The sequence below is a fragment of the Homo sapiens genome, chromosome 16 (genome assembly GCF_000001405.40).
Source record: "Homo sapiens chromosome 16, GRCh38.p14 Primary Assembly".
Classification (NCBI taxonomy): Eukaryota; Metazoa; Chordata; class Mammalia; order Primates; family Hominidae; genus Homo; species Homo sapiens.
In genome coordinates, this window is record NC_000016.10 from 56,704,407 (window position 1) to 56,730,101 (window position 25,695).

The 25,695-nt window shown below is 43.2% G+C and overlaps 2 long non-coding RNA genes across 4 annotated transcripts, besides 1 other annotated feature; one reads left to right on the top strand and one right to left on the bottom strand.

The window, feature by feature from the left end:
• Window positions 1–4,046: 4,046 nt before the first annotated feature.
• On the bottom strand, window positions 4,047–25,592 carry NUP93-DT (NUP93 divergent transcript). Of its 3 annotated transcripts, none has more exons than NR_184322.1 (3): window positions 25,377–25,592; window positions 5,508–5,588; window positions 4,047–4,839 (listed from the first exon to the last, which is right to left on the bottom strand). It is a non-coding gene; the product is annotated as an NUP93 divergent transcript (long non-coding RNA). The 3 variants fall into 3 exon arrangements; NR_184321.1 differs by having other exon boundaries at window positions 25,100–25,592; NR_184320.1 differs by having other exon boundaries at window positions 5,508–5,771; window positions 25,100–25,592.
• Window positions 4,290–20,169, top strand: LOC105371287 (uncharacterized). Its single transcript, XR_933621.3, has 3 exons — window positions 4,290–4,493; window positions 18,456–18,498; window positions 19,750–20,169. It is a non-coding gene; the product is annotated as an uncharacterized LOC105371287 (long non-coding RNA).
• Window positions 25,529–25,628: a silencer, noted in NCBI's record as "silent region_7514". NCBI's record gives its function as "represses an Ori minimal core promoter by ATAC-STARR-seq in GM12878 lymphoblastoid cells {active_cell/tissue: GM12878}" and the evidence as "EXISTENCE:reporter gene assay evidence [ECO:0000049][PMID:35858748]".

Below are 25,695 nucleotides of genomic sequence, written 5' to 3' on the forward strand. Positions count from 1 at the left end.
ATACTTAAGAAATAAGTCACACTCTGGACACGGTGGCTCACACCCGTAATCCCAGCACTTTGGGAAGCTGAGATGGGAAGATTGCTTGAGCCCAGGAGTTTGAAACCAGCCTGGGGGATGTAGCAAGACCTCGTCTCTACAAAATAAAAATATAAAAAATTAGCCAGGCGTGGTGGCATGTGCTTGTGGTCTCACCTACTAAGGAGACCAAGGCAGGAGGATTGCTTAAGCCTAGGAGGTCGAGGCTGCATTGAACCGTGATTATGCCACTGTACTCCAGCCTGAGCAACAGGGCAAGACCCTTTCTCCAAAAAACAAAAAACAAAAACAAAACAAAAAAGTCAGACAAGGCAAACTTGCAAATTAAAGATCTCCCTCTTTGGAAATAGGAGCAGTATTTGAAGGAAAGCAATTATAAGTTGACATATATTATGTCGTTATAGGAAAAGATGCTTTATAATGATGCATTAAAATATTCTATCTTTTTGACTTAGCACATGAAGCAATATAATGATCTCACATCTTGGTTTTATAGGCCCAGAGGAGATCTGACTGTATTTTCCCTTCTTATTACCTTAAAGATTTATTCAGTCAAGGAAGGAATAAGAACAGCAAAGGCAATTGTGAAGTAATCGCCCTGAACTTCAGAATAACCACACTGGCAGATGAGTGCCAAGAAATGAATTGTGATTGCTGCTGTGGCTCTAATAAAAACAAGAATTTCACTCTCAATGGTTCTGGGGTATGAGGTTCTGGATTCAGTGTCGGACATGGCATCTGAAGGCCTAGGGTCAAGTCCTGTCTCTGCCATTTACTGAGCATGTCACTGTGGGCCGCTCACTTATTTGCTGTATCTCAGTGCCCAGAACAATATCTGGCACACAATAGGTGCTTAGTGAGAAAGAACAGGTGAGCAAGAAGCTGGGGTGGCAATGTACCCTTGGGAGTACTGGGGTGGGAGAAATGGTAAGAAGACCCCTGGGATGCACAAGGAGCCCCAAGTGGGGAGGGAAAGGCACATGTGAAGGACTCCTCTTCTCTGTTGAAGGTCTCTGAATAATGTAAATTTCACCAACTATAATTGATGCCCAGGGGCCAGGCTCAGGGTGGAGAGTGGGGTCAGGGGATGCTGCCAGGAGGTCAGAGGCCAGCAGGGAGGGCCTGCCCTGGGTATGGAAACCTACACATCCATCCAGTGTGGGCCTGTGGGGTTTGTGTCTGCTATGGGGGGTCTTATCCAAGGCTCAGAGAGCACTGAGGAAAGAGCAGCCTCTTTTTGGAGGGAGGGGCTGGGGATCAGGAAACCTTGCATGGGGAGGCCTTGAGTAGGCAGAATGAACTGGATGCACCCCGGAGGTGAAAGTGGGGGCGTATCTTGGCACAATAATGATACTTTAGTTTCTTTTTTCTTTCTTCTCCCTTCCTCCCTCCCCCAACCTTGATTGCTGAAGTCATATATGCTTGCAGTAGAAAATTCATAAATTATAGAAAAGAACTAAGAAACTCTCATCACCCAGAGAGGATCCTTGTGAACACTTTAGTGTATATACATGTAGTCTTGGGCATTATTAATTTTTAATTATGCATGATAGACAAATATATTCTTCTTGTAAAAAATTAAAATATAACAGATAAGTCTTAAGTCTCAGTAGTCAGCCAGCCCCACTCCTGGTCCTTTCCCTTCAACCCTTGTCACCTCTCAGATCAGATGGCCACTTCATCAGGGTAATAAATAGCACTCTGGACTATTCTTTACATACATAGAAATATAGACACTTTTCTTTTCTTTCTTTTTTCTTTTCTTTTCTTTTCTTTTTTTTTTTTTTTTTTGCGACAGAGTCTCGCTCTGTCACCCAGGCTGGAGTACAGTGGCACAATCTCGGCTCACTGCAACCTCCACCTCCCAGATTCAGGCGATTCTCCTGTGATTCTTCTGCCTCAGCCTCCTGAGTAGCTGGGACTATAGGCACACACCACCACACTCGGCTAATTTTTGTATTTTTAATAGAGACGGGGTTTCACCATGTTGGCCAGGCTGGTCTCGAACTCCTGACCTCAAGCAGTCCACCTGCCTCAGCCTCCCAAAGTGCTGGGATTACAGGTGTGAGCCACCACACCCGGCCCTTGTTTTTCTTTATTTTCTTTCTTTCTTTCTTTCTTTTTTATAGACAAGGTCTTGCTGTGTCCCCCAGGCTGGAGTGCAATGGCACTATCATAGCTCGCTGCAGCCTGCAACTCCTGGCCTCAAGTGATCCTCCCACCTCAGCTACCCAAGCAGCTGGGACTACAGGCAATGGCCACCACATCTGGCTATTTTTTTTTATTTTATTTTTTGTAGGGACAGGGTTCTCACTGTGTTGCCCAGGCTGGTCTCAAACTCCTGGCCTCAAGTGATCCTCCCATCTTGGCCTCCCAAAGTGCTGGGATTACAGGCATGAGCCAGCCTCTTAAGTAGCTGCGACTACAGGCATGCACCACTGAGCCCAGCTTAATATGGTACAGTTTTAAAAGCCATTTTCCTATTAACGGACATTTAGGCTGTACCTATGTCCTTTCCCGTGTGGATTTCTCTATAGTGGAATTGCTGGGTCAATGGGAAAGTACATTTCCATTTCTTTTCTTTTCTTTTTTTTTAAGCTTTGGGGTCTTGTTCTGTTACCCAGGCTGGGGCACAGTGGTGTAATCATGGCTCACTGAAGCCTTGAACTCCTGGGCTCAAGCCATCCTCCCATTCAGCCTCCCCGGTTGCTGGGATTACAGGTGTGAGCTACAGCACCCAGCTTTCAAATTCTTTCTTCCTTTTTTTTTCTTTTTTTGAGACGGAGTCCCACTCTGTCACCCAGGCTGGAGTGCAGTGGCGTGATCTCGGCTCACTGCAACCTCCACCTCCTGGGTTCAAGCGATTCCCCTGCCTCAGCCTCCTGAGTAGCTGGGATTACAGGCCTTACTACCATGTCTGGCTAATTTTTTTTTTGATTTTTAGTAGAGACAGGGTTTCACCATGTTGGCCAGGTTGGTCTCGAACTCCTGACCTCATGATCCGCCCACCTTGGCCTCCCAAAGTGCTGGGATTACAGGCGTGAGCCACCACATCTGGCCTCTCAATTTCTTAATATTTAAAAAAATCCACATACATATAGACTTACTATGTTATATATTAGCCAGTTTTTCACCTAACTATACAGTGTGAGTTCTTTCTAAATACCACTCAATATACTACAGCAATTTCTCCATCCATTTTTAACATACATTTTATTACGGAAAATTTCGAACATATACAAAGGTAGAGAGAATAGTAAAATGAACCCCCATGTACCCATTTCTTGAGCTTCAATAAATATCAACTTTTTTAATACTTCATACAGCACCATTAATGATGGCATAATATGTATCATAAGCATGTTTTATGATATATTGAGTCTGTTCCTTGTTGTTGGAGGGTTGAGATTGTTTAATTTTTCACTATGACATGTAGGATTTACATGCCTTGCCTTTGGTAATGGAAGCATGGGAGTGTTTTGCCTTGGTCTCCACTTAGCCCACCGCTGCCCCTTTTCTGCCCACAGACACCCCCTCTCCCACTGTAGTGTTGTAAGGAGCTGTCTTATGTCCGAGTTTCTCAGATGCAGAGCTGGAGACAGGGATTCAGGTGCACGTTATCATGGTCAACGACTGCCTGGGGGCTGGCTGGGCTCGGTGGTTCACGCCTGTAATCCCAGCGCTTTGGGAGGCCGAGGCGGGCAGATCACTTGAGGTCAGGAGTTTGAGACCATCCTGGCCAACATGGTAAAACCCCATCTCTACTAAAAATACAAAAACTAGCCGGGCGTGGTGGTGGATGCCTGTAATACCAGCTACTCAGGAGGCTGAGGCAGGAATCACTTGAACCTGGGAGGCAGAGCTTGCAGTGAGCCGAGAGGGCACCACTGAATTCCAGCCTGGGCGACAGAGTGAGACTCTGTCTCAAAACAAACAAACAAACAAATAAAAAACTGACCCCCTGGGGTCAGTGTCACAGGTGGTGAAGGAATTTACCAAGACAATTGTTGGGAAAGAAAGGTAGATTTATTAGAGAAAAGCGGGACATATGTTCCAAGGGAGCAACGAGCAACATAGCAGAGGGAATGCTGTCTGCAAAAAGGCAGGGGCTGCAGGGGACTTTATAAAGTTGTGCTGTCTGGGCTGAAGGCTTGCAGACAGGAAGCTTGGGTGCAGGTGGGCTGTGAGCTGAATGCTTGCAACAGGATGTTTGGGTGCTAGTGAGCTGTTTGCTGTTGACCCTATTTCTCAGAACATTCACTCCCCTCTACCCCTGTGTCTGTTCTTGCCAGCTAAGCTCATTTCCAATTTTCTTTTAGCTCCTTAGGGCTCCACATGCGTGACTTATTAGAGGAGCAAAAGAAGCCGAATATGGAAGGGGAAAGCCTTGGCCTGATCCAGGGTGCTCTAGAACAAATTCCTCCCACTGAACTGTCCTGCTGTGGGGCAAGCAGGTGAGCACTTGTTCTGTTGTCAGTCACCATTTGCCCCCGGGGTGGGGTGTAACCTGCCAGGCATCCTCAAGGGATGCACTGGCAACAGCAGGGGGATGGTGACAGCCGGTGTGGGGATCTGGAGCACCCACACGCCCACATCCTGCATGGTGAGACCCTTACTGACACCTATTTACAAGCAAGGCTTAAAAAGAAGCATCTGGGGGGCGCCGGGTGAAGGCAAATCTTCAGGGCTCTCGGATCAAACTGGGAGATTTGGGGTTGGAGAAGCAGGCAGCAGGAAATGAATCTGTCTTCTGTTCATATCTGGCTGCAAAGCTCACAAACGCTCAAGCTCAGGCTGCAGCTGGATGTGGAATGAGATGGAAGATCGGGCCGCATGATAGCCCAAATGGAATTATAAAAAGAAACAACAACAAAATCAGTCAGCAGAAAGGTGGCTGGAGACAAAGGGAAAGGTGGAGGGGAGATAACCCTGAACTTTGGCGCATGTGTAGGCCTTTGGACAAAGCAACGGAAACACCTGGCAGAGGATCATTTGAGTCTGAGATGGAGCTCCTGTTTGTTAGGAGATGGGGGCATGCAGGCAGGAGAGCAGTCTCAGAAAGCCCTGGTTCAAGGTGCAGGGGAGAGTGGGTTCACACAGGGCTAAGCACCCTCATCCTTCAAAGGCCTGGGCCTCTGAAGGTCACTGGCCTGCTGCCCATCCTGGTGCAGATCACCCAGGAGTGAGAGGAGAGCAGATATTGCCATCACCCTGGGCTGCAGCACACCTACAGATATGTTTTATTTTCTGCAACATGGGCTATAAAAATCAAAATCTTAAAAAACCTGGATCTTCTGGAGCCCTGGGCCATTGTTTCTGCATGGCCCCAAGGGCACATTTCAGTAATGGCCACCCCCTTTAAAGCAGTCCTGCCACGGGCCCCACCATTCCCTAATGCATCACACCTGCCGCTTTAATCATTTACAAGACCAGGTTGGCCCTGCAGGCGGTTGTGGCTTCCCACTCACCAAGGTTTTGAGAAGTCCAGCCTCAATCATCTTGTTTTTTAATCTTCAATCATCTTTTGAGTTTCCGTCCTCTACCTCCAGCTACAGGAATGAGTCCAATGTTCAGAAAAGTGAGGGTATCAGGGGGCAGTAGAGGGGGAAGGCCAGCCCAGAGGGTAAGGACCTGAGCCCTGGAACTGTCTGGGTTAAAATCCTGGCTCTGCTGCTAGTTGTGTGAGGTAGGCAAGTTGCTAAAATCCCCCTGGATTTTTAGTTTTCTCATCCCTAAAATGGGAATAATGAAATGAGTAAATACATGTAAAACTTAGCATTGATGAAGTGCTCAGCTAATGTTACCCATGACTGTGATTACTAGCCCGGACACTGTTGTCACCAGGCATCCTGCTGCACAAACAAGGCTGCTTCGGGGCTGTGCTTCCACTGGCCATTGGCTGCAGCTGCTCTCAGCAGGCCACAAAGATGCCCTCCCAGCCACCCTCACCACTGACCACAAGCCTCCATGATGGGACCCTGTCTACTCCCCCAAGATCCCAGTATTAGGCACCAGTGTCCCCAGACATTCTGGTACCAGCAGTATCTGAGAGCCTCCTCCAGGGCACTGTGTGCAGCAGACCCAAGACCTTGTGGTCCTCCAGATTTTAGGGAACCACTCCCTTCAGAGCCACACGCCTCCACACCTTCCTCCCCAGTGTGAGCAACCCCTGTCCATCCTGTCTACTTACATCAAAATTCCCCAGGGGAGAAGGGGTAATAAAAATGCCCCAAAATGTCAATTCCCCCATCTCATTAGTCACAATCTCTGAGCTCAGGGCTAGCAATTTATATACACACACGTACACACACACATAACTTTTTCTTTATTTTAGACGGAGTCTCGCTCTGTCGCCCAGGCTGAAGTGCAGTGGTGGGATCTTGGCTCACTGCAACTCTGCTTCCCGGGTTCAAGCAATTCTCTTGCCTCAGCCTCCCAAGTAGCTGGGACTACAATAGCACGCCACCACACCTGGCTAGTTTTTTGTATTTTTAGTAGAGACAGGATTTTGTCATGTTGGCCAGACTGGTCTCCAACTCCTGTCCTCAAGTGATTCGCCCCCTTGGCCTCCCAAAGTGCTGGGATTACAGGCGTGAGCCACTGCGCCCACATACACAGAATTTTGGGGGTAAAATTACATTTACATTTGATAAAATGCACTAATAAATGTGTGTATATATACATATACATATATATACATATATATATATATATATATATATATATATATATATATATATATATAATTTTTTTTGAGATGGACTCTCGCCCTGTCACCCAGGCTGGAGTGCAGCGGCACAATCTTGGCTCACTACAACCTCGCCCTCCTGGGTTCAAGCAATTCTTCTTCTTCAGCTTCCTGAGTAGCTGGGATTACAGGTGCGTGCCACCACACCTGGCTAGTTTTTGTATTTTTAGTAGAGATGTTGGCCATGGCTAGTCTCGAACTCCTGACCTCAGGTGATCCACCTGCCTCAGCCTCCCAAAGTGCTGAGATTACAGGTGTCAGCCACCACACCCAGCTAAAATGCACAAATCTTAACAGCAGTTTGACTAGTTTTGACAAACGTACCCCACCATGTAACCCATATCTCATTCAAGATCTAGAACATGTCATCACCCTAGAAAGTTCCCTCATCCCCCTGCCAGTCAGTACCTCACCCCTCCCTGACCAGAAAACACTATTGTGATTTTATCCCATATTAGTTTTGCTTGTTCCTGAACTTCATATAAATGGAATCAGAGAGTGTGTACTTTTTTGTTCTGGTTTCTTTTAGTCAACCCAGTGTTTTTGAAATCCATCCATATGGCTGTATGTGTCAAGAGTTTGTTCTTTCATATCTCTAAGTAGTATTACATTGTATACATGTATCACAGTTTGTTTATCCGTTCTTCTTTGATGGACATTTAGGTTGTTTCCAGTTTGGGGATATTATGAATAAAGCTGCTATAAGCATTCTTGTGCAAGTCATTTTGTGGACTTGTTCTTTTATTTCTCTGGGATAGATACCAAGAAGTGGAATTGCTGGGGCCCTATTAGAATCTGCCAAACCATATTCTAAAATGGTTGTAGTATTTTACACCCCCGACTGGCAGAATATGGGAGGTCCAGTTGCTTCACATTCCCACCAGCACTTGCTAGTGTCAGACTTTTAAACTGTGGCCATTCTACTGGTATGAAGTGTTATTCATTGTGGCTTTAACTTAGATTTCCTTGATGACTACTGATGTGGACTATTTTTTCATGTGTTCATTGGTATTTTTATATTGTATTTTATGAAGTGCCTATTCAAATCTTTTGCTCGTTAAAAAAAATCGGTTTTTTAAAATAATTAATTTACAGAAGTTCTTTGTATATTTTGGATACCTGTCCTTTGTCATATATGTGTATTGAGAAGATGTCCTTTCAGTCTATGTCTTGCCTTTTCATTTTCTTCAGCTTATGAGACGAAAATGCTGCCAGCTGCACCAAGAAAACTGCCACTTTTCATTTTCTTTTTTTTTTTTTTTTTGAGAGGGAGTCTCACTCTGTTGCCCAGGCTGGAGTGCAGTGGCACAATCTCGGCTCACTGCAAACTCCACCTCCCAGTTTCAAGCCATTCTTCTGCCTCAGCCTCCTGAGTAGCTGGGATTACAGGCATGTGCCACCACGTCTGGCTAATTTCTGTATTTTTAGTAGAGATGGGGTTTCACCAACTCGGCGAGGCTGGTCATGAACTCCTGACCTCAAGTGACCTGCCTGCCTCGGCCTCCCAAAGTGCTGGGATTACAGGCGTGAGCCACCACACCCGGCCACAGTTTTCATTTTCTTAATGGTATCTTTTGATTATCAGAAGTTTTCATTTTTCCTGAGGACCAGTTTATCGTTTTGTCTCTTTTGTTTAGTGCTAGTTTTCTAAGAATATTTGCCTACTGACAATTTATATTTTTAACGAACTTCTCAAGTAATTCTGTTATGCACTAAAATTTGAGGTCCACTGGTCTCAGATAATGAAGCACTATTGGTTTTTTTTTTTTTTTTTTTTTGGCCCTGGTTGACAACATTTCCCCTAACATACATGCCTTTGAGTGTGCACGCACACACACATGCACACACACACAAACACACACACACACACACCTGCCACATAGAACAAGAAACCCAGAATTTAAGAACCCAAGAAATTGTGGGTTAGAGACAATGGGTTTGCCCCACTATCTATCCCCTCTTCCTCTTAGTAATAGGAACCTCACAAGTGTCTGGGACATAGACATACAGCCAAAACCACATTTCCCAGACTATCTGGCAGCCAAGAGTGGCCACATGACCGTTTTGTCCGATGATTTGTAAGTGGAAGTGGACGTAAAACTTTAGGAATGTATCCTTGAAAGGGACGAGGTGCCGCTCTGGTCCCTGTCCTCTTTCCTAATGGCTGGAACAAGAGCATAATGGCTGGAGCTCCAGCAACCATCTTGGAGACTGAGGCAGGATGCTAAGGATGGGGGAGCAGCAATGTAGGTGGCCAGGTCCTTGATGACTGAAGCCACCACCTAGCCTAGATGGCTTCTCTTCAGACTTCTCTCATGTGACAGAAATAATGTCTTATCTTGTTCAAGCCCCTAAGTGTTGGCATTATTGTCACCATTGCTTTTGTTTCTTTACGTAGCTGAATTGAAGTCTAATTTCTATACCTGGCTTGAAGTCTAATTTCTGTTCCTGTGAGGGGATAGGGAAAATCAACTTCTTGGTTTTTGTTAATGGATGCTTAGCCTGTTTGTGCTGCTATGACTGCATACCACAAACGGTGTAATTTATAAATAATAGAACTTTATTTCTTACAGTTCTGGAGCTGCTGGGCAGACAAAGGTTAACGTGCTAACAGGTTCAGTGTTTGGTGAAGGTCTGGTTTCTGTTCCAAGATGGCACCTTGGACACTGTCTCCTCACATGGCAGAAGGCAGAAGGACAAGACAAAAACAAGCCAAAAAGGCCTAACTAGTTCCCTGCAGCCTCTATAAATGTCATTGTTGTCAACAGGTGTAATGAAACAATGGGCTAAGCCATGCCCAGCCAAACCCACAGCACAGAAATTATTCCTGTTCTGATCAGGTTGTTGTATTTTTTTTATTCATTGCACACGTATAGTAATGGCTTATTCTACACAGGGCTTTGCTTGAAGTGAACATATTTTCATTTTATTTGTGGTGATTAATTTCAGGAAAAACAAAATAGAAAAGTTGATTTTTGCCAGCATAGATTTTCAAAAAACAGCAGAGAATTTGGTTATTTAAAAAATGAAGACCATGACCGGGTGCGGTGGCTCAGGCCTGTAATCCCAGCATTTTGGGAGGCTGAAGCAGGCAAATCATGAGGTCAAGAGTTTGAGACTAGCCTGGCCAACATGGTGAAACCCCGTCTCTATTAAAAATACAAAAAATTAGCTGGACATGGTGGTGCCTGCCTGTAATCCCAGCTACTCAGGAGACTCTCTCGAACCCGGGAGGCAGAGGTCGCAGTGAGCCGAGATCGCGCCACTGCACTCCAGCCCGGGCAACAGTGCAAGACTCTGTCTCAAAAAAAAAAAAAAAAAAAAAAAATTAAGAACATATTGGAATAAAAACTCTTCCTTCACCCTTCACACCTCTGAATTTTTATCTTTTTTTTGAGACAGTGTCTCCCTCTGTTGCCCAGGCTGGAGTCCAGTGGCACGATCTCAGCTCACTGCAGCCCCAACTTCCTCAGGCCAAGGAATCCTCCCGCTTGAGCCTCCCGTGTAGCTGGGACTACAGGCAGATGCCACCAAGCCCAGCTAATTTTAAAACATTTTTTGTAGAGACAAGTCTCACTATGTTGCCCAAGCTCGTCTTGAACTCCTGGCCTTAAGCAATCCTCCTGCCTTGGCCTCCCAAAGTGCCAAGATTACAGGCATGAGCCACCGCACCTGGCCACATACTTCCCAATTTTAACTGAACCATGAAACTAAAAATCAGACTTCTCATAATACAAAATCAAATACATTACAAAAAGTAAATGCTGTGAAGACACTTAGGGATTAAAAAAGCACGTAAACATACTTTTCCATGAAAAGCAATTACAACATTGTCAGCCAGATGGATAAAGAAAGTTTTGTTTTTGCCTGCGCATCCTCTCTTTCCTGACTCTTTGCTTGACTTTTTCACGATTTTTAAAAATTATTACTTATTCTAAAAAAGAATGAGACCTCTAAGACAGCCATCAACCAGGGGGCTACAGCCTCCAGCTTGTGTGTCCCACGGTTTTCAGAACTGTGGTGTTGGTTTACTGAAGTCTGAGTTCTGCCCAGTGGCCAGCATTGGGCACAGTCTCATCCCTCAAGGCTGATAAGATCTAGACAGTTACATTACAGAACAGCTGAACTGGCTGACCCCCAAGAGAGGTCACGTATAGGAGCTGGTCTTCCCTGCTATGCCACACATGCCAGTGTTAGCCCCAGTTTGAGTCAAATTTGAGTTAAGACTCTGCCTTCAAGCAATTGGATAACTTGCGTGATTGGAGCCTCCATTCTGAGAGTCTCCTGGCAGCTCATTCAGGACCTTTTTAAACTAACATTCACCGAACACCCACTAATGGACACAAAGCCTTCAAGGGCTTCCATTCTAGTGAAATTTATGCACAAAACAAAAATTGCGCCTGTAATCCCAGGGAAGTGGAGGCAGAAGAATCACTTGAGGGAGTTTGAGACCAGCCTGGGCAACATAGTAAGACCCCATCTCAACAAAAATTTTTTAAAAATAACTGGGCATGGTGGTATGTGCCCATAGTCCTAACTACTCCAGAGGTGAGGCAGGAGGATTGTTTGAGCCCAGGAGTGCGAGGTTACAGTGAGCTATGATTGCACCACTGCACTCCAGCCTGGGTAACACAGCAAGACCATGTCTCTAAAAAATAAAAATAAAAAATTGCAACTTTTTATGATGTGTGTAGGGTACTTGACAGCTTTGCACTGGTGGGGCAAGGACACCTCTACTCAATTCTAGAATACCGGGGCCACTGGCCTTGCCAAAAATAAAATGGTTAACACTTACTGAGCACCCACCATATGCAAAACTCTGTTCTAAGTCTCTAACATGTATTAAGTAGCTCAGTCCTTGTAACAACCCTTCACGGTGGGTTACCATCATCTCCATAAGAATACCCACAATGTGAAAGAAGTAAATCCCTGGAAAGTAAATGGGGAGAGGTTCTTGGTATAGTTACCAAAGAAGGGTGTTGGAAGGCCCCAAAGCCAGCCGTGTTCACTACTGTTCTCCACACTGGTTTGCTGATATTAATTTTCTTCTGGGTTTGCAGAGAAGGACTAAGTTTTCTGATTTCTTTCTTTCTCTCTTTCTCTTTCTTTTTTTCTTTCTCTCTTTCTCTCTCTCTCTGTCTCTTTCTTTTTGAGACAGAGTCTCTCTCTGCTCTCTGTCACCCAGGCTGGAGTGCTGTGGTGTGATCTCAGCTCACTGCAACCTCTGCCTCCCAGGTTCAAGCGATTCTTGTGCCATAGCCTCCCAAGTAGCTGGGATTACAGGTGCCTACCACCATGCCCAGCTAATTTTTGTATTTTTAATAGAGATGGGGTTTCACCATGTTGGCCAGGCTGGTCTCAAACTCCTGACCTCAAGTGATTCACCCTCCTCAGCCTCCCAAAGTGTTGGGATTACAGGTGTGAGCCACCGTGCCTGGCCTAAGTCCTCTGATTTCTAAGAGTGGCAATAGCTACAAGTCTGTTTCTGTTTTCTACTTTCACTCTTGGGGACACTTTTCTTTTATCATTTAAGTTTTTTTTCTTGAAACTCCAGCTGCAAATACATTTAATAATCAACCACAAGAGAGCCCTTGACAGATGGGCCTTGAAACAGATGGCTCCATTGAAAGGCGGCAATTAAAATTGGAGGGTAATTTGAACCAATCAAGAAGATGGGGTCTCTTGGAGGCAAAGTTTCTACAAAAACCGAAACCATATCCCCCAAGCTCCTTTGGTACATTTTTCACCCACAGATGAGCCTTCCTGGGAGTGGATCCAACTTTTTTAAACATCTGGAATGTTGAAAAGGAAGAGAGAGAAGCCCTTGGGCCTTGTCAATCAAATTCACTTTTCTTTTGGCAAATTCAGCATCAGTGACAAATTGTGCAATTTGACATAAACAAAGTTGATAGATGTCGGCAAAGCTGTTTTTAAACAGCAGCAATGGAGAGATGTGTAGGATGGGGATTTTTCTCATTCAACAGTCAGTATGTTTAATAACAAATAAAACAACCAGATGTTGAAAAAAAAACCTACCACCTTGACAATGTCATCTGATAGTCAGCTGCTGCTGATTAATGAGTGTGGGATATATTCCAATCTCAATTCAGAAAGCTGGCAGAAATGTCCATGTAAGGACTTCTCTGGATAATTCCTTAATAGAGTTAACGAAGGGCTCTAAATTCACCTTGGAGGCTTTCTTGAGATAAAAAGCACTGGCCTTGATTTTTATTATTTTATTTTTTTATTTTTATTTTGAGGCAGAGTCTCACTCTGTTGCCCACACTGGAGTGCAGTGATGCAATCTCAGCTCACTGCAACCCCTTCCTCCTGGGTTCAAGTAATTCTCATGCCTCAGCCTCCCGAGTAGCTGGGACTACAGTCATGCACCACCACACCTGGCTGATTTTTATATTTTTAGTAAAGATGGGGTTTCACCATGTTGGCCAGGTTGGTCTCGAACTCCTGACCTCAAGTGATCCACCTGCCTTGACCTCCCAGAGTGCTGGGATTACAGACATGAGTCACTGTGCCCAGATTGGCCTTGATTTCAGAAGACTTGAGTGCAAGTCCTGGTCTGCCACTCTTTCCTTATATGACTTGGGTAAGTCATTCAATCCCCTTGGAGCTTAGGTTCCCCATAGGATACATAATGATGATAAACTCTGCCCTGTCTACTCCTAAGTTGTTGCAAGGCTCAAGTGGAATAATTGCTGTCAATCACTTTTTCCTTAATTTAAAATTTTTGAGAAATAATTACATCCAGTAAAATGCACAAATCTTAAGTGTACAGCTTAATAAATTTTTATGGCCATGGCCACTGGCTCACACCTGTAATCCCAGCACATTGGGAGGCTGAGGTGGGCAGATTGCTTGAGTCTAGGAGTTGGAGACCAGCCTGGGTGACATGGTGAAACCTCGTCTCTACAAAAAATACAAAAATTAGCTGGGCGTGGTGGCCTGCACCTGTAGTCCCAGCTACTTGGGAGGCTGAGTTGGGAGGTTAGCTTGAGCCGGGGAGGCAGAGGTTGCAGTGAGCTAAGATCGTACCATTGCACTCAAGCCTGGGTGAGAGTGAGACCCTACTTCAAAAAAAATACATTAAATAAATACACAAATAGGTCCGGGCGCGGTGGCTCACGCCTGTAATCCCAGCACTTTGGGAGGCAGAGGTGGGTGGATCACGAGGTCAGGAGATCGAGACCATCCTGGCTAACATGGTGAAACCCCGTCTCTACTAAAAAACCAAAAAATTAGCCCAGCGCAGTGGCGGGTGCCTGTAGTCCCAGCTACTCGGGAGGCTGAGGCCAGAGAGTCACTTGAACCTGGGAGGCAGAGCTTGCAGTGAGCCAAGATTGCGCCACTGCACTCCAGCCTGGGTGACAGAGCGAGATTCCATCTCAAAAAATAAATAAATAAATAAATAAATACACAAATAGATAAATAAGTAAATTTTTGCGTATGTATACTCCTATGTTGCCACTCAGCTCAAGATATAGAATATTTCTGACACCTCAAAAAGTTCCCTGTGCTCTTTCCTGGCCCATAGTTTCAAGGAACAATTATTCTCACCTCTATCACTAGAGATAAGCTTGCTTGTTCTTGAAATTGAGATAAGTCGAATCTCATAGTATGTATTCTTTTATGTCTGGCTTTCAATTGACATAGGTTTTGGGGATTCATTTCTATTGGTGCAGCAGTCAGTGGTATGTTCCTTTCCATTGCTGAGTAGTGTTCCACTGGGTGGCTATTCCAGTTTGTTTATCCATTTTTCTCCTGTGGGTAGACATCTGAATTGTTTCCAGTTTGGGATTATTATGAATAAAGCTGCCATTAACAAAAGACCATGAGATCTGCAGAGGAAGAGGGAGAGCTTTATTTTCTCTCTCTACATATATGGAAAACAATCTGCAGAATGGGGAGGCACAGTCTTCAGCATAAGTGAAAGCTTACCCTGGGAAGAATAAAGGTAGAGTCTGGCCTCAGTAGGGAAAATTCTCAATTAGGTCTGCTTATACAAATGAAGGATTCAAACTGGTTCAGTTCTGATTAGTCAAAATAGTCCAGTCCTAAGCCGGGCGCAGTGGCTCATGCCTGCAATCCCAGCACTTTGGGAGGCCCAGGCGGGCAGGTCACTTGAGGCAGGAGTTTGAGACCAGCATGACCAACATGGTGAAACCCTGTCGCTACTAAAAATATAAAAACTAGCCAGGCCTGGATTTGCGATTTGCTCTCACTATCCTTAACCCTTGGCTTCCCACAAACTCAACCAATTGCCAGGGGTTGGTGTTCTAGAGAAAGCCTGTTTGCTATCCTGGATAATGTCAAGTCACCTTCTGTGCCGCTGACATGAAACCCATCTGAAAGGCAAAGTAAGAAGCTTCCCTTTTAAGCTTTTAATGGCTTTTTTTTTTTAAAAAATTAAGACAGAGTCTCACTCTGTCACCCAGGCCGGAGTGCAGTGGCACAATCTTGCCTCACTGCAACCTTCACCTCCTGGGTTCAAGTGATTCTCCTGCCTCAGCCTCCTGAGAGCTGGGACTACAGGTGCATGCCACCATGCCAGCTAATTTTTGTATTTTTAGTAGAGACGGGGTTTTACCACTTTGGCCAGGCTGGTCTCAAACTCCTGACCTCAAGTGATCTCCCTGCCTCAGCCTCCCAAAGTGCTGGGATTACAGGTGTGAGCCACTTTGCCTAGCCAAAGCTTTTAATGACTTTTGAAGAATATTGCTAATCACTCATCCACAGCTCACCAAGCTTTATGTAATTTGCGACTTCCCACTAAGAAATCGTCTCTGGAAGCAGCAGCTCAAGATAGGGGGTAACAATTAGTGGAGCTGGATTCTGTTATTTAAGAAATATTTCTTGCTTTCCTTCCATGAACCACATGCTAGGTATTGTGGGGAATACCAAAGAAGGAAAGCAAGGTTCCAGACTGCAAACTATCAGGGAAAGTGACATGAATTTCAGATTGCAAAAATATTTAATATTCCATGGTGAAGGGAATATTCTATTTTATTTTTACTTTTTATTGTAGCATAATGAATAACATATGTATGGTAAAGTGCACAAATCTTAAATGTGCAGCTCAATGAATTTTTAAAAAGTGAATACATCCATGCACTCAGCATCCAGATGAAGAAATAGAACATTAAGAGATCTCAGAAGTTTCCTTCATTCCTCTTCCCAGGCAACAACCTCTCCCTGTTTCATGATAATCACTGTCCTGACATCTGTCACCATAGATTAGTTTTTCCTTACTTGAACTCTATATAAATGAAATTATACTTTTGTGTCTAGCTTTTTTTGTATGACATTATGTCTGCAAGATTCATTCATGTTGTTGCTTGAGGATGGAGTTCATTCTTTTTTATTCCTGAATTATTTTATTATATGACCACAACATAATTTATTTTTCCCTTCTTCTGTTAATGGACTTCTGGGTTGTTTCCCCTGTTGGGCTAGTACAAATAATGGTGCTATGAACATTGGTATACATGGCTTTTAATGAAAATATGTACACATTTATGCTGAAGATAGGTAGATAGGTAAATAGATAGATAGATAGATAGATGTACTAGGTCATAGAGTATGTGTATATTTAGCTTTAATATATTTTGCCAGTTTTCCCAAGTGGTTGTCCCTGTTTATAAACCCTCGGCTGCATATGATGGTCCCAGTTGCTCCACAACCTCTTGGACAGTTAGTATTGTCAGTTTTAAAGTGTAGCCATTTTCTCAACATCATTAGTTGTCAGGAAAATGAAGACTAAAACCACAATGAGATACTCTGTATGTCTATTAGAATGCCTCAAATAAAGAAAAAACCTGACAATATTACGTGTGAACAAAGATTGGAGCAACAGGAACTCATACATTGCTCCTGGTGGGAATGATACAACCATTGAGAAAATAATTTGGCATTTTCTTATAAAGTTATATATATATATATGCATCATATGACCCAGAATTTCCATTGCTAGGTATTTATTCAAGGGAAACGAAAACATATGTTTGCACAAAAACTTATACAAGAATTTTCACAGCAGCTTTATTCCTCATAGCCAAAAACTGGAAATAACCCCAAACATCCACCAAAATGAATGGATAAGCCAGGTGCAGTGGCTCACGCCTGTAATCCCAGCACTTTAGGAGCCGAGGTGGGTGGATCACTTGGGTCAGGAGTTCAAGACCTGCCTGGCCAACATGGCGAAACCTCATCTCTACTAAAAATACAAAAATTAGTGGAGTGTGGTGGCGCATGCCTGTAATCCCAGCTACTTGGGAAGCTGAGGCAGGAGAATCGCTTGAACCCGGGAGGCAGAAGTTGCAGTGAGCCAAGATCACACCACTGCACTCCAGCCTGGGCCACAGAGCAAGATTCTGTTTCAAAAAAACAAAACAAAACAAAGATGAATGGATAAATAAAATGTGATATATCCATATAATGAATTCTACTCATCAATAAAAAGGAATGAACTATTGATACAGACATGGACAAACATAAAAAAAAAGATGCTGAGCTAAAGAAGCCAGACACGAAAGATAAAGGGTGATTACATTTACATGAAATTTAGCCAACAGGCATTGACTGCAAAGGGACATGAGGGAAACATCAGGATGGAAATGTTCTACGTCTTGATTGTGGTGATGGTCATACAGATATATACATGTACTAAACATATCTAAGTGTACTCTTAAAACAAGTGCATTTTATTGTATGGAAGTATCCTCCATAAAATATCTAGTTATTCTAGTCTGACAGATATGTAGTGGTTTTTCATTATGGATTTAATTTGCATTATCCTGATGACCAATTGTGTTAAGCACCTTGCATATATTATTGGCAAGTCAGATATTGTATTAGTCAGGGTTCTACAGAGAAACACAACAAATCAGATGTGTGTGCATAGATAGATAGATAGATAGATAGATAGATAGATAGATATAATATGATTATGAAAGTTGACAAGTCTCAAGATCTGCAGTCATCAAGCTGGAGACCCAGGACCTAGAAGAGTGGTTGGTGTAGTTCCAGTCCCAGTCTGACAGTCTCAAGACCCAAGAAGAGCTAATGTTTCAGCTTGAGTCGAAAGACAGAAAAAAAAGCCCATGTCCCAGCTTAAAGATAGGTAGAAGGAATTCTCCGTTACTCAGCCTTTGCATTTTTCTCAGGCCTTCAACTGATTGGATGTAGCCCACCGGCATTAAGGAGGGCAATCTCGTTTACTCAGTCTACCCATGCACATGTTAATCTCATCCAGAAACACCCCCACAGACACACTCAAAATAACATTTGATGAAATGTCTGGGCATCCCATAGCCCAGTCAAGTTGACACATACAATTTAACCATCACATATCCTCTTTTGTGAAATACCTGTTTAGGTTTTTGCCCACTTCTAACAGGATCTGTCTTTTTCTTCTTGATTTATAAGAGTTCTCTATATAGTCTAGATATGAGTCTTAGATTAGTGTATTGCAAACTTCTTCCAGTGGTTTGCCTTTCACTCTCTCAGTTTCATCTAATTTATCAGTCTTTTCCTTATGGTTAATGTTTATCGTGTCTTGTTTAAGAAATGTTTGCCAACCCCCAGAACCTCTAGGTCATGAAGCCTATTATCTTGTCTTTAAGAAAGTTTATTGTACTTTTTTTTTCACATTCAGGTCTATAAGCCATCTGGAATTCATTGTTGGTTTATGGTGTGAGGTAAGGATGAGATGAATGCTGCTGTTCTTTTTAAATTTTTTATAGAGCCAATAGATTCAATACCATTTATTGAAAATAGAATCCTTTCTCCCCCTGAGTTACTGTTTTTAAAATCAGATAACTATATAAGTGTGGGTCTGTCTCTGGGCTCTCTATTCTGTTTCATTTGTCTATTCATTTTTTTGCCAAGATCATCCTTTTTAAATTATGACAGCTTTTAAATAAGTCTTGAAATCTTGAGGCATAAGTCCCTCTCCCACATTTTCTTCTTTAAGAATGTCTGAAAAGAATGTTTTTGGCCTTTTGCATTTTCAGATAAATTTTAGAATCAGCTTGTCAATTTCCATTAAAAATGTGCTAGGATTATGGTTGGGATTGCATTGAATCCATAAATCACTTTGGGGAGAACTGGCATCTTGAGTCTTTGATCCAAAAACATGGCTTATCTCAACATTTATTTAGGTCTTCTTGAGTTGCTCTCATTAATGCCTTGTAGTTTTTAGCATCAAAATCTTGTACATCTTTTTGTGAGGTTTAATCCTATTTATATGATTTTTATGCTAATGCAAATGATATCATTTAAAATGTTCATTTTCCAGTTATTTTTCACAAATATATAGAAATATAATTAATTTTTGTATACTGACCTTTTTTTACAGGCTTGCTAACTTCATTAATTAATTTTAATATTTTGTCTGTAGATTATTTTGGGTTTTCTTCTTATGTATTCATGTCATCTGTCCATGATGGTGATTTTATTTTTTTCTTGCCAATCTTTATGCCTACTATTTCTCCTTCTTGCCTACTGCACTGGCTTAGACCTCTAATACAATGTTGAATATAAATGGTAACAGCTGACATCTTTGTTATGTTTATACGACTTTAGGAGAAATATTTATATTTTTCCATTAAGTGATATTTGCTGTAAGTTTTTTATAGATACCCTGCATCAGATTAAGTTCCCCTCTATCCCTACTTTGCTAAAAGTTTTTATCATAAATACATGTTGAATTGTATGAAATGCTTTTTATTGGCATCTATTAAGATAAACATTTATATTTCTCATTTATGTTGTTAGTGTGGAGAATTACATACATTTTCTAATGTTACATTCTTGGTAAAAAATAATTCTTCCTATGATCCTGATGTATTATCCTTTTGCTATATTGCTAGATTGGGTTTCTCAATATTTTATTTCAGATTTTTGCCTTTACGTTTAGTAGGGCTGTTCTTCTATTTCTTTTCTTGTAGGGTCCTGCCAGGTTTTGGAATCAAGGTTATGCCAGCCTCATTGAACTAGTTGACAAGTGTTCTTATTTTTTCTGTTCTCTGGAAGAGTTCATGTAAGATTCGTATTATTTCTTCCTTAAATATTTGAAAGAATTCACCAGTGAAGACACCTGGGCCTGGAGTTTTCTGGTTTTGGTGTGTTTGTTTGATTTGGTGGTAAGTAGAAGGTGTGTTTTGAAATCCTGTCTGTCCCAGAGGCCTTGACACTTGCTGACCCCGCATAGCTCCACATGGCTGCTCCTTTGGGAATCCAGGTCTCTGCTCAGATGCCATCTCCTCAGAGAGGTCTTCCATTACTTCCCCAGCTGAAGCAGCACTCACTCCCCTCAGCTGCACTTTCTATTTTTTTTTTTTCTTCTTGAGACAAGGTCTCACTCTGTCGCCCAGGCTGGAGTGCAGTGGCTCAATCATAGCTCACTGTAGCCTCGACCTCCTTGTCTCAAGTGATGCTCCCACCTCAGCCCCCCAAGTAGCTGGGACTACAGACACGTGCCACCACACCCGGCAAATTTTTGTATGTTTTGTATAGATAAGGATTCGCCATATTGCCCAGGCTGGTCTTGAACTCCTGAGCTCAAGTGATCCCCAACCTTAGCCTCCCAAAATGCTGGGATTACAGGCATGAGCCACTGCCCCTGGCCCTTTCTATTTTTTTATATACAGGCTTATCACTCCCTGAAATTAACCTTCCCCAAAATCTGTTCATTTGTTTATTGTGTGTTTGCCCTGTTAGAATGTGAGCTCCATGGGGCCAGGGATCTCATCAATTTCATTCATTCTGAATCCCCAGCACTCAGCACACAGCAGCACTCAACAAATATTTTTCAAGAGACTAAATGAAAGGAAGTCAAATGGAGGCCCTTTCCCCACAAAGTCACAAGAAGCACAATGAATCACTTTTATTTTTTATTTTTATTTTTTATTTGAGATGGAGTCTTGCTCTGTTGCCCAGGCTGGAGTACAGGGGCGCAATCTTGGCTCACTGCAACCTCTGCCTCCTAGGTCCAAGCAATTCTCCTGCCTCAGCCTCCTGAGTAGCTGGGATTACAGGTGCTCACCACCCCAACTAATTTTTGTATTTTTATTTATTTATTTATTTTTATTTTTTTCACCAGGCTGGAGTGCAGTGGCATGATCTTGGCTCAGTGCAACCTCTGCCTCCCGGGTTCAAGCGCTTCTCCTGCCTCAGCCTCCTGAGTGGCTGGGACTAGACGCACATGCCACCACAATCCAGCTAATTTTTGTATTTTTAGTAGAGATGGGGTTTCAGCATGTTGGCCAGGATAGTCTCAATCTCTTGGCCACATGATACGCCCATCTGAGCCTCCCAAAGTGCTGGGATTACAGGCGTGAGCCACCGTGCCCAGCCAAATTTTTGTATTTTTAGTAGAGACAGGATTTCACCATATTGGCCAGGCTGGTCTCGAACTCCTGACCTCAAGTGATCCGCCTGCCTCAGCCTCCCAAAGTGCTGGGATTACAGGCATGAGCCACCGTGCCCAGCTGAACCTTACTTTAAAAAATGTTTTAATAGACATTTTTTTAGAGCAGTTTTAGGAGCACAGCAAAATTGAGCCAAAGGTACAGCGATTTTTCACATACCCCCTGCCTGTACACACGCCTAGCCTCTCCGATTACCAACATCCCCCACCAGAGTGGTACATTTCTTACAACTGATGAGCCCATTTGATGCATCATGATCACCCAGTCTGTAGTTTACATTAGGGTTTACTCTTGGTGTTGTACATTCTGTGGGTTCAAGCAAATTTGTAATGCCGTGTATCTAAAAGCCTCATCTTTTTAATAATTAAAGTTGACCATTGTCTTCACTGAACTTACACAGAAACAAAACCATGCAATATAATTCTGTATTCCTTGCCAAGTTACAATGTCATTGTGGAACAAAATGCAATGAACATGAAAATAAGACTTTCTCAGCTTCTTTGTAAATGGAACTGTTTAATATTATTTTGTTAATGGGTAGAATAAAATGTAATCTGATGGTGAAAACATTCTTCTTGACATTGTGGAAAATACCTCCCTATATTGCATGTGATGGAAAAGCAATTCGACTGGGAAAAGTTTACTGAATTAAGCTTACTGAATTCTGGCCTATTGACCTTATAATAAGCATGTTAGATGAGACGTTATAAGGGCTCAAGTAATACCTGCATCCTTCAGGATTATTTTGATTGCAAGTGATGTAAAACCTCAGTGAAATTGAGCAAAAAATAAAATTTTCTGGGTCATGCAACAAAACATTCCAGGGTTAGGGTTAGCTTTAGGCACAGCTTGATCCAGAAGCTGTGTCACAATGTCACTTGAGTACAGGCTCTCTCTCCATCACTACATGGCTCTCTTCTGTATTGTCTTCCTCCCCAGACAAATTCTTCCCTTGTGGACAATAAACAAACAGGCCGGGCATGGTGGCTCATGCCTGTAATCCCAGCACTTTGAGAGGCCAAGGAGGGCAGATCACTTGAAGTCAGGAGTTCCAGACCAGCCTGGCCAATATGGTGAAACCCCGTCTCTACTAAAAATACAAAAATTAGCTGGGTGTGGTGGCATACACCTGTAATCCAAGCAACTAGGGAGCCTGAGGCACAAGAATCACTTGAACCTGAGAGGCAGGGGTTACAATAAGCCAAGATTGTGCCACTGCACTCCAGCCTGGGCAACAGAGTGTAACTCTGTCTCAAAATAAACAAACAAACAAACAAACAAACAAAAATTTGAAAGGAATGATAATGCCTACAAAAACATCTTCACAGTTCTAATTTATTCCAGTCATAAAGATAAGTGTCTGAGCAGAACATCTTAAGAGTGCATTTTCTTGATCCTATTGGGTTCTAAACCAGTTCCTGAACCAGTCCCTGTGGCCAGGGTACTGCACTACTCTGCTCTGATTGGCGAGGCCTGAGTCACATGCCACCAATCAAAACACAGGGACTGAGATTTGGGGCAGGAACGCTCCACAGGGGAGTCCAAGTGTTAAAAGACGTCCCATTAGAGAGCAAATGTCTGGTAATACGGTATAGTGCGTTGAATACACATCCCATATACTCAATGAGTTCATCTGAAGACTAAGAATATTCAAAAGCACAATTCAACCAGACGAGAGTACAAAGGCCTGTGTTTGTTTGATATCATCATGCAGCCAAAAAAGGTAGAGTTATACACTTGGTATGTATAGAAGACATGCAAAATCTGTGTTACAATACAGGGTTCCATCAAATACTTCCTTTGAAAAACAGGATTCTGTTAAATAATGTTTGGGACCCAGTAGGACTAAATGAGGGAAGGTAAGGACTCTCCACCACCACCCAGCTCCCTTTTAAGTAGGAAAGAGCTTGAAAATCCCCACCTCTGAGAAAGGGGCCTTGCGGGGGCTCTGGGGCACATCTCAGAACAATTCTCAAGGCAAAGGCTCTTGAAAGATTCTGAGCTCAGATAAAGTGATGTTTAAGGAAGCTCTTCTGGCAAGGCATGAGCCAATGCACCCAGTTCTCTTAAAAACAAGAAAACAAAAAACAAACCAAAAAAACCAAATAATATATTGTTTATGCACAGATACATTTGTGATAAAACTATAAAACATTGGAATGATAAATATGAAATGTCAGATTGTGGTTATCTCTGGGGATAGGAAGGTATATGGGAAGACCATCTGGAAAACTGCAAGGTTTTTTAAGATGAGGTGTCACTCTGTTGCACAGGCTGGAGAGCAGTGGCACGACCAGGGCTCACTGCAGCCTTGACCACCTGGGCTCAGGTGATCCTCCCACCTCAGCCTCCCCAGTAGCTGGGACTACAGCTGCACACTACCATGCCCAGCCAATTTTTTTGTATTTTTTGTAGAGACAGGGTTTCACCATTTGCCCAGGCTGGTCTTGAACTCTGAGGCTCAAGCTACCCTCTTGCCTCAGCCTCCCAAAGTGCTGAGATTACAGGCGTGAACCACTGTGCCTGGCCACTTTTTCCATTTAACATTATGTTTCCAAGATTCATCCATGGTGTATCTGTGGCTGAAGCACACTCATTTTTCACTGCTGTGTAATGCTCCATTGCATAATATCCCACAATTTATTTATCCTTTTTTTTTTTTTTTGGTTAACAGATATTTGGCTTGTTTCAAGTTTTTTGCTAATATGAACTGTGCTGCTATGAAGATTCTTACTTATAACTCCTGGTGCATATGTGTAAGAGTTTCTCTAGGGCATATATCTAGGAGTTGAATTACTGGGTTTTACAATGTAGAAATATTCAGCTTTAAAAGGCAAGTGTCCGGAATTTTCATTTGGCAATATTGCACAAGCATTTGTCTATGTCATTAAAAGTGCTTTTTTTTTTTTTTTTTACATAAAGAAAAAGCAAAGTAAAAGTATAAAACATTATTCAGATGCAAGATACTATTATCTTTGTGGATATTCTCTGACCATAGCGGGGTCTGGTTACATATATAATAGCTTCAGGGCAAAGGCCACATTCATACATATTGTTAATCAGCACCAATTATTTATAGAGAACTCACAATATGCTGGTGTGAGGTATTAAAAATAAACAAAGCTGGACACTAGTTGCTATAGACTTCTTAATGTTTGTGTCCTCCCCCTTCAAATTTATATGTTGAAACTCTGCTCTCCATTGGGATGGTATTAAGAGGGGAGGACTTTGGTAGGTGATTGGGTCATGAGAGTGAAGCCCTCATGAATGGGATTAGAGCCCTAATAAAAGAAATATTGGAGAGCTCCCCTCACCCTTCTGTGTGTGGTTACAGGGAGAAGAGTGCTATATTAGTCCGTTCTCATGCTGCTGTGAAGAAATACCTGAAACCAGGTCATTTATAAAGAAACGAGGTTTAATTGACTCACAGTTCCGCATGGCTGGGGAGGCCTCAGGAAACTTATAATTATGGTGGAAGGCACATGTTCACAGGGCAGCAGGACAGGGAATGAGTGCAAGCAGGGGAAATGCCAGACGCTTATAAAACCACCAGATCTCATGAGACTTACTATCGTGAGAACAGCATGCCAGAAACTGCCCCCCATGATCTGGTTACCTCCACCTGGTCTCACCCTTGATATGTGGAGATTATGGGGATTATAATTCAAGGTGAGATTTGGGTGGGGACACAGAGCCAAACCATATCAAGTGCTATCTATGAATTAGGAGGCAGGCCCTCAGCAGACACTGAATCTGCGGGTGCTTTAATCTAAGGCTTCCCAGCCTCTAGAACTGTGAGAAAAAAATTTCTGTTGTGTATAAGCCATCCAGTCTATGGATGAGTCTGACCCCACTTGTCCCTACTCACCATCTTCCAGCCGCACACCCCTTCTTTCTAGTCTCCAAACACTAAGCTGGCTTCCCCTGGAGACTTCACTCTTGTTCCCTCTGCCTGGAATTCTTTGAAGCCAGAACTTTGCAAGCCCCATCCTTTCTCATCCTTCTTTATTCAGCTCAAGATGTCGCCATCTCAGAAAGGCCTCCCTTCAACATCCAAGCATTCTCTCTCCCATCACCCTGTTTTTTCTTCATAGCTCTTCTTGCAAAGTGCAGTTATTTATTACATTTTTGTTTCCCCTGCCAACCTGGGAACTCAATGAGGGCAGCGATCTTGTCTGACGTGGTCGCCACGGTGTTGCCAGTTCCTAGACTAAGGCCTGGCCCTTGGATGGCGCTCAAGAAGGAGTAAGAAATTCCTTTAACTTAGGGAATTCTGGAATCGCTTTCTCCCGGCAGAGCCGACTCTAACCAAGTGGGAAAGGCGAGGTCCGTGGCTGCCTGTGGCCCAGGGGTGACGGTTTGGCCCAAGGCCCCACCTCCGCCCCGCCCCCGGCCCCGCCCCTGTTCTTGTCCTCCCCCACGGGTCTCCATAAAGTTCATTTGGCGTCGCACCGCGCGAGGGCT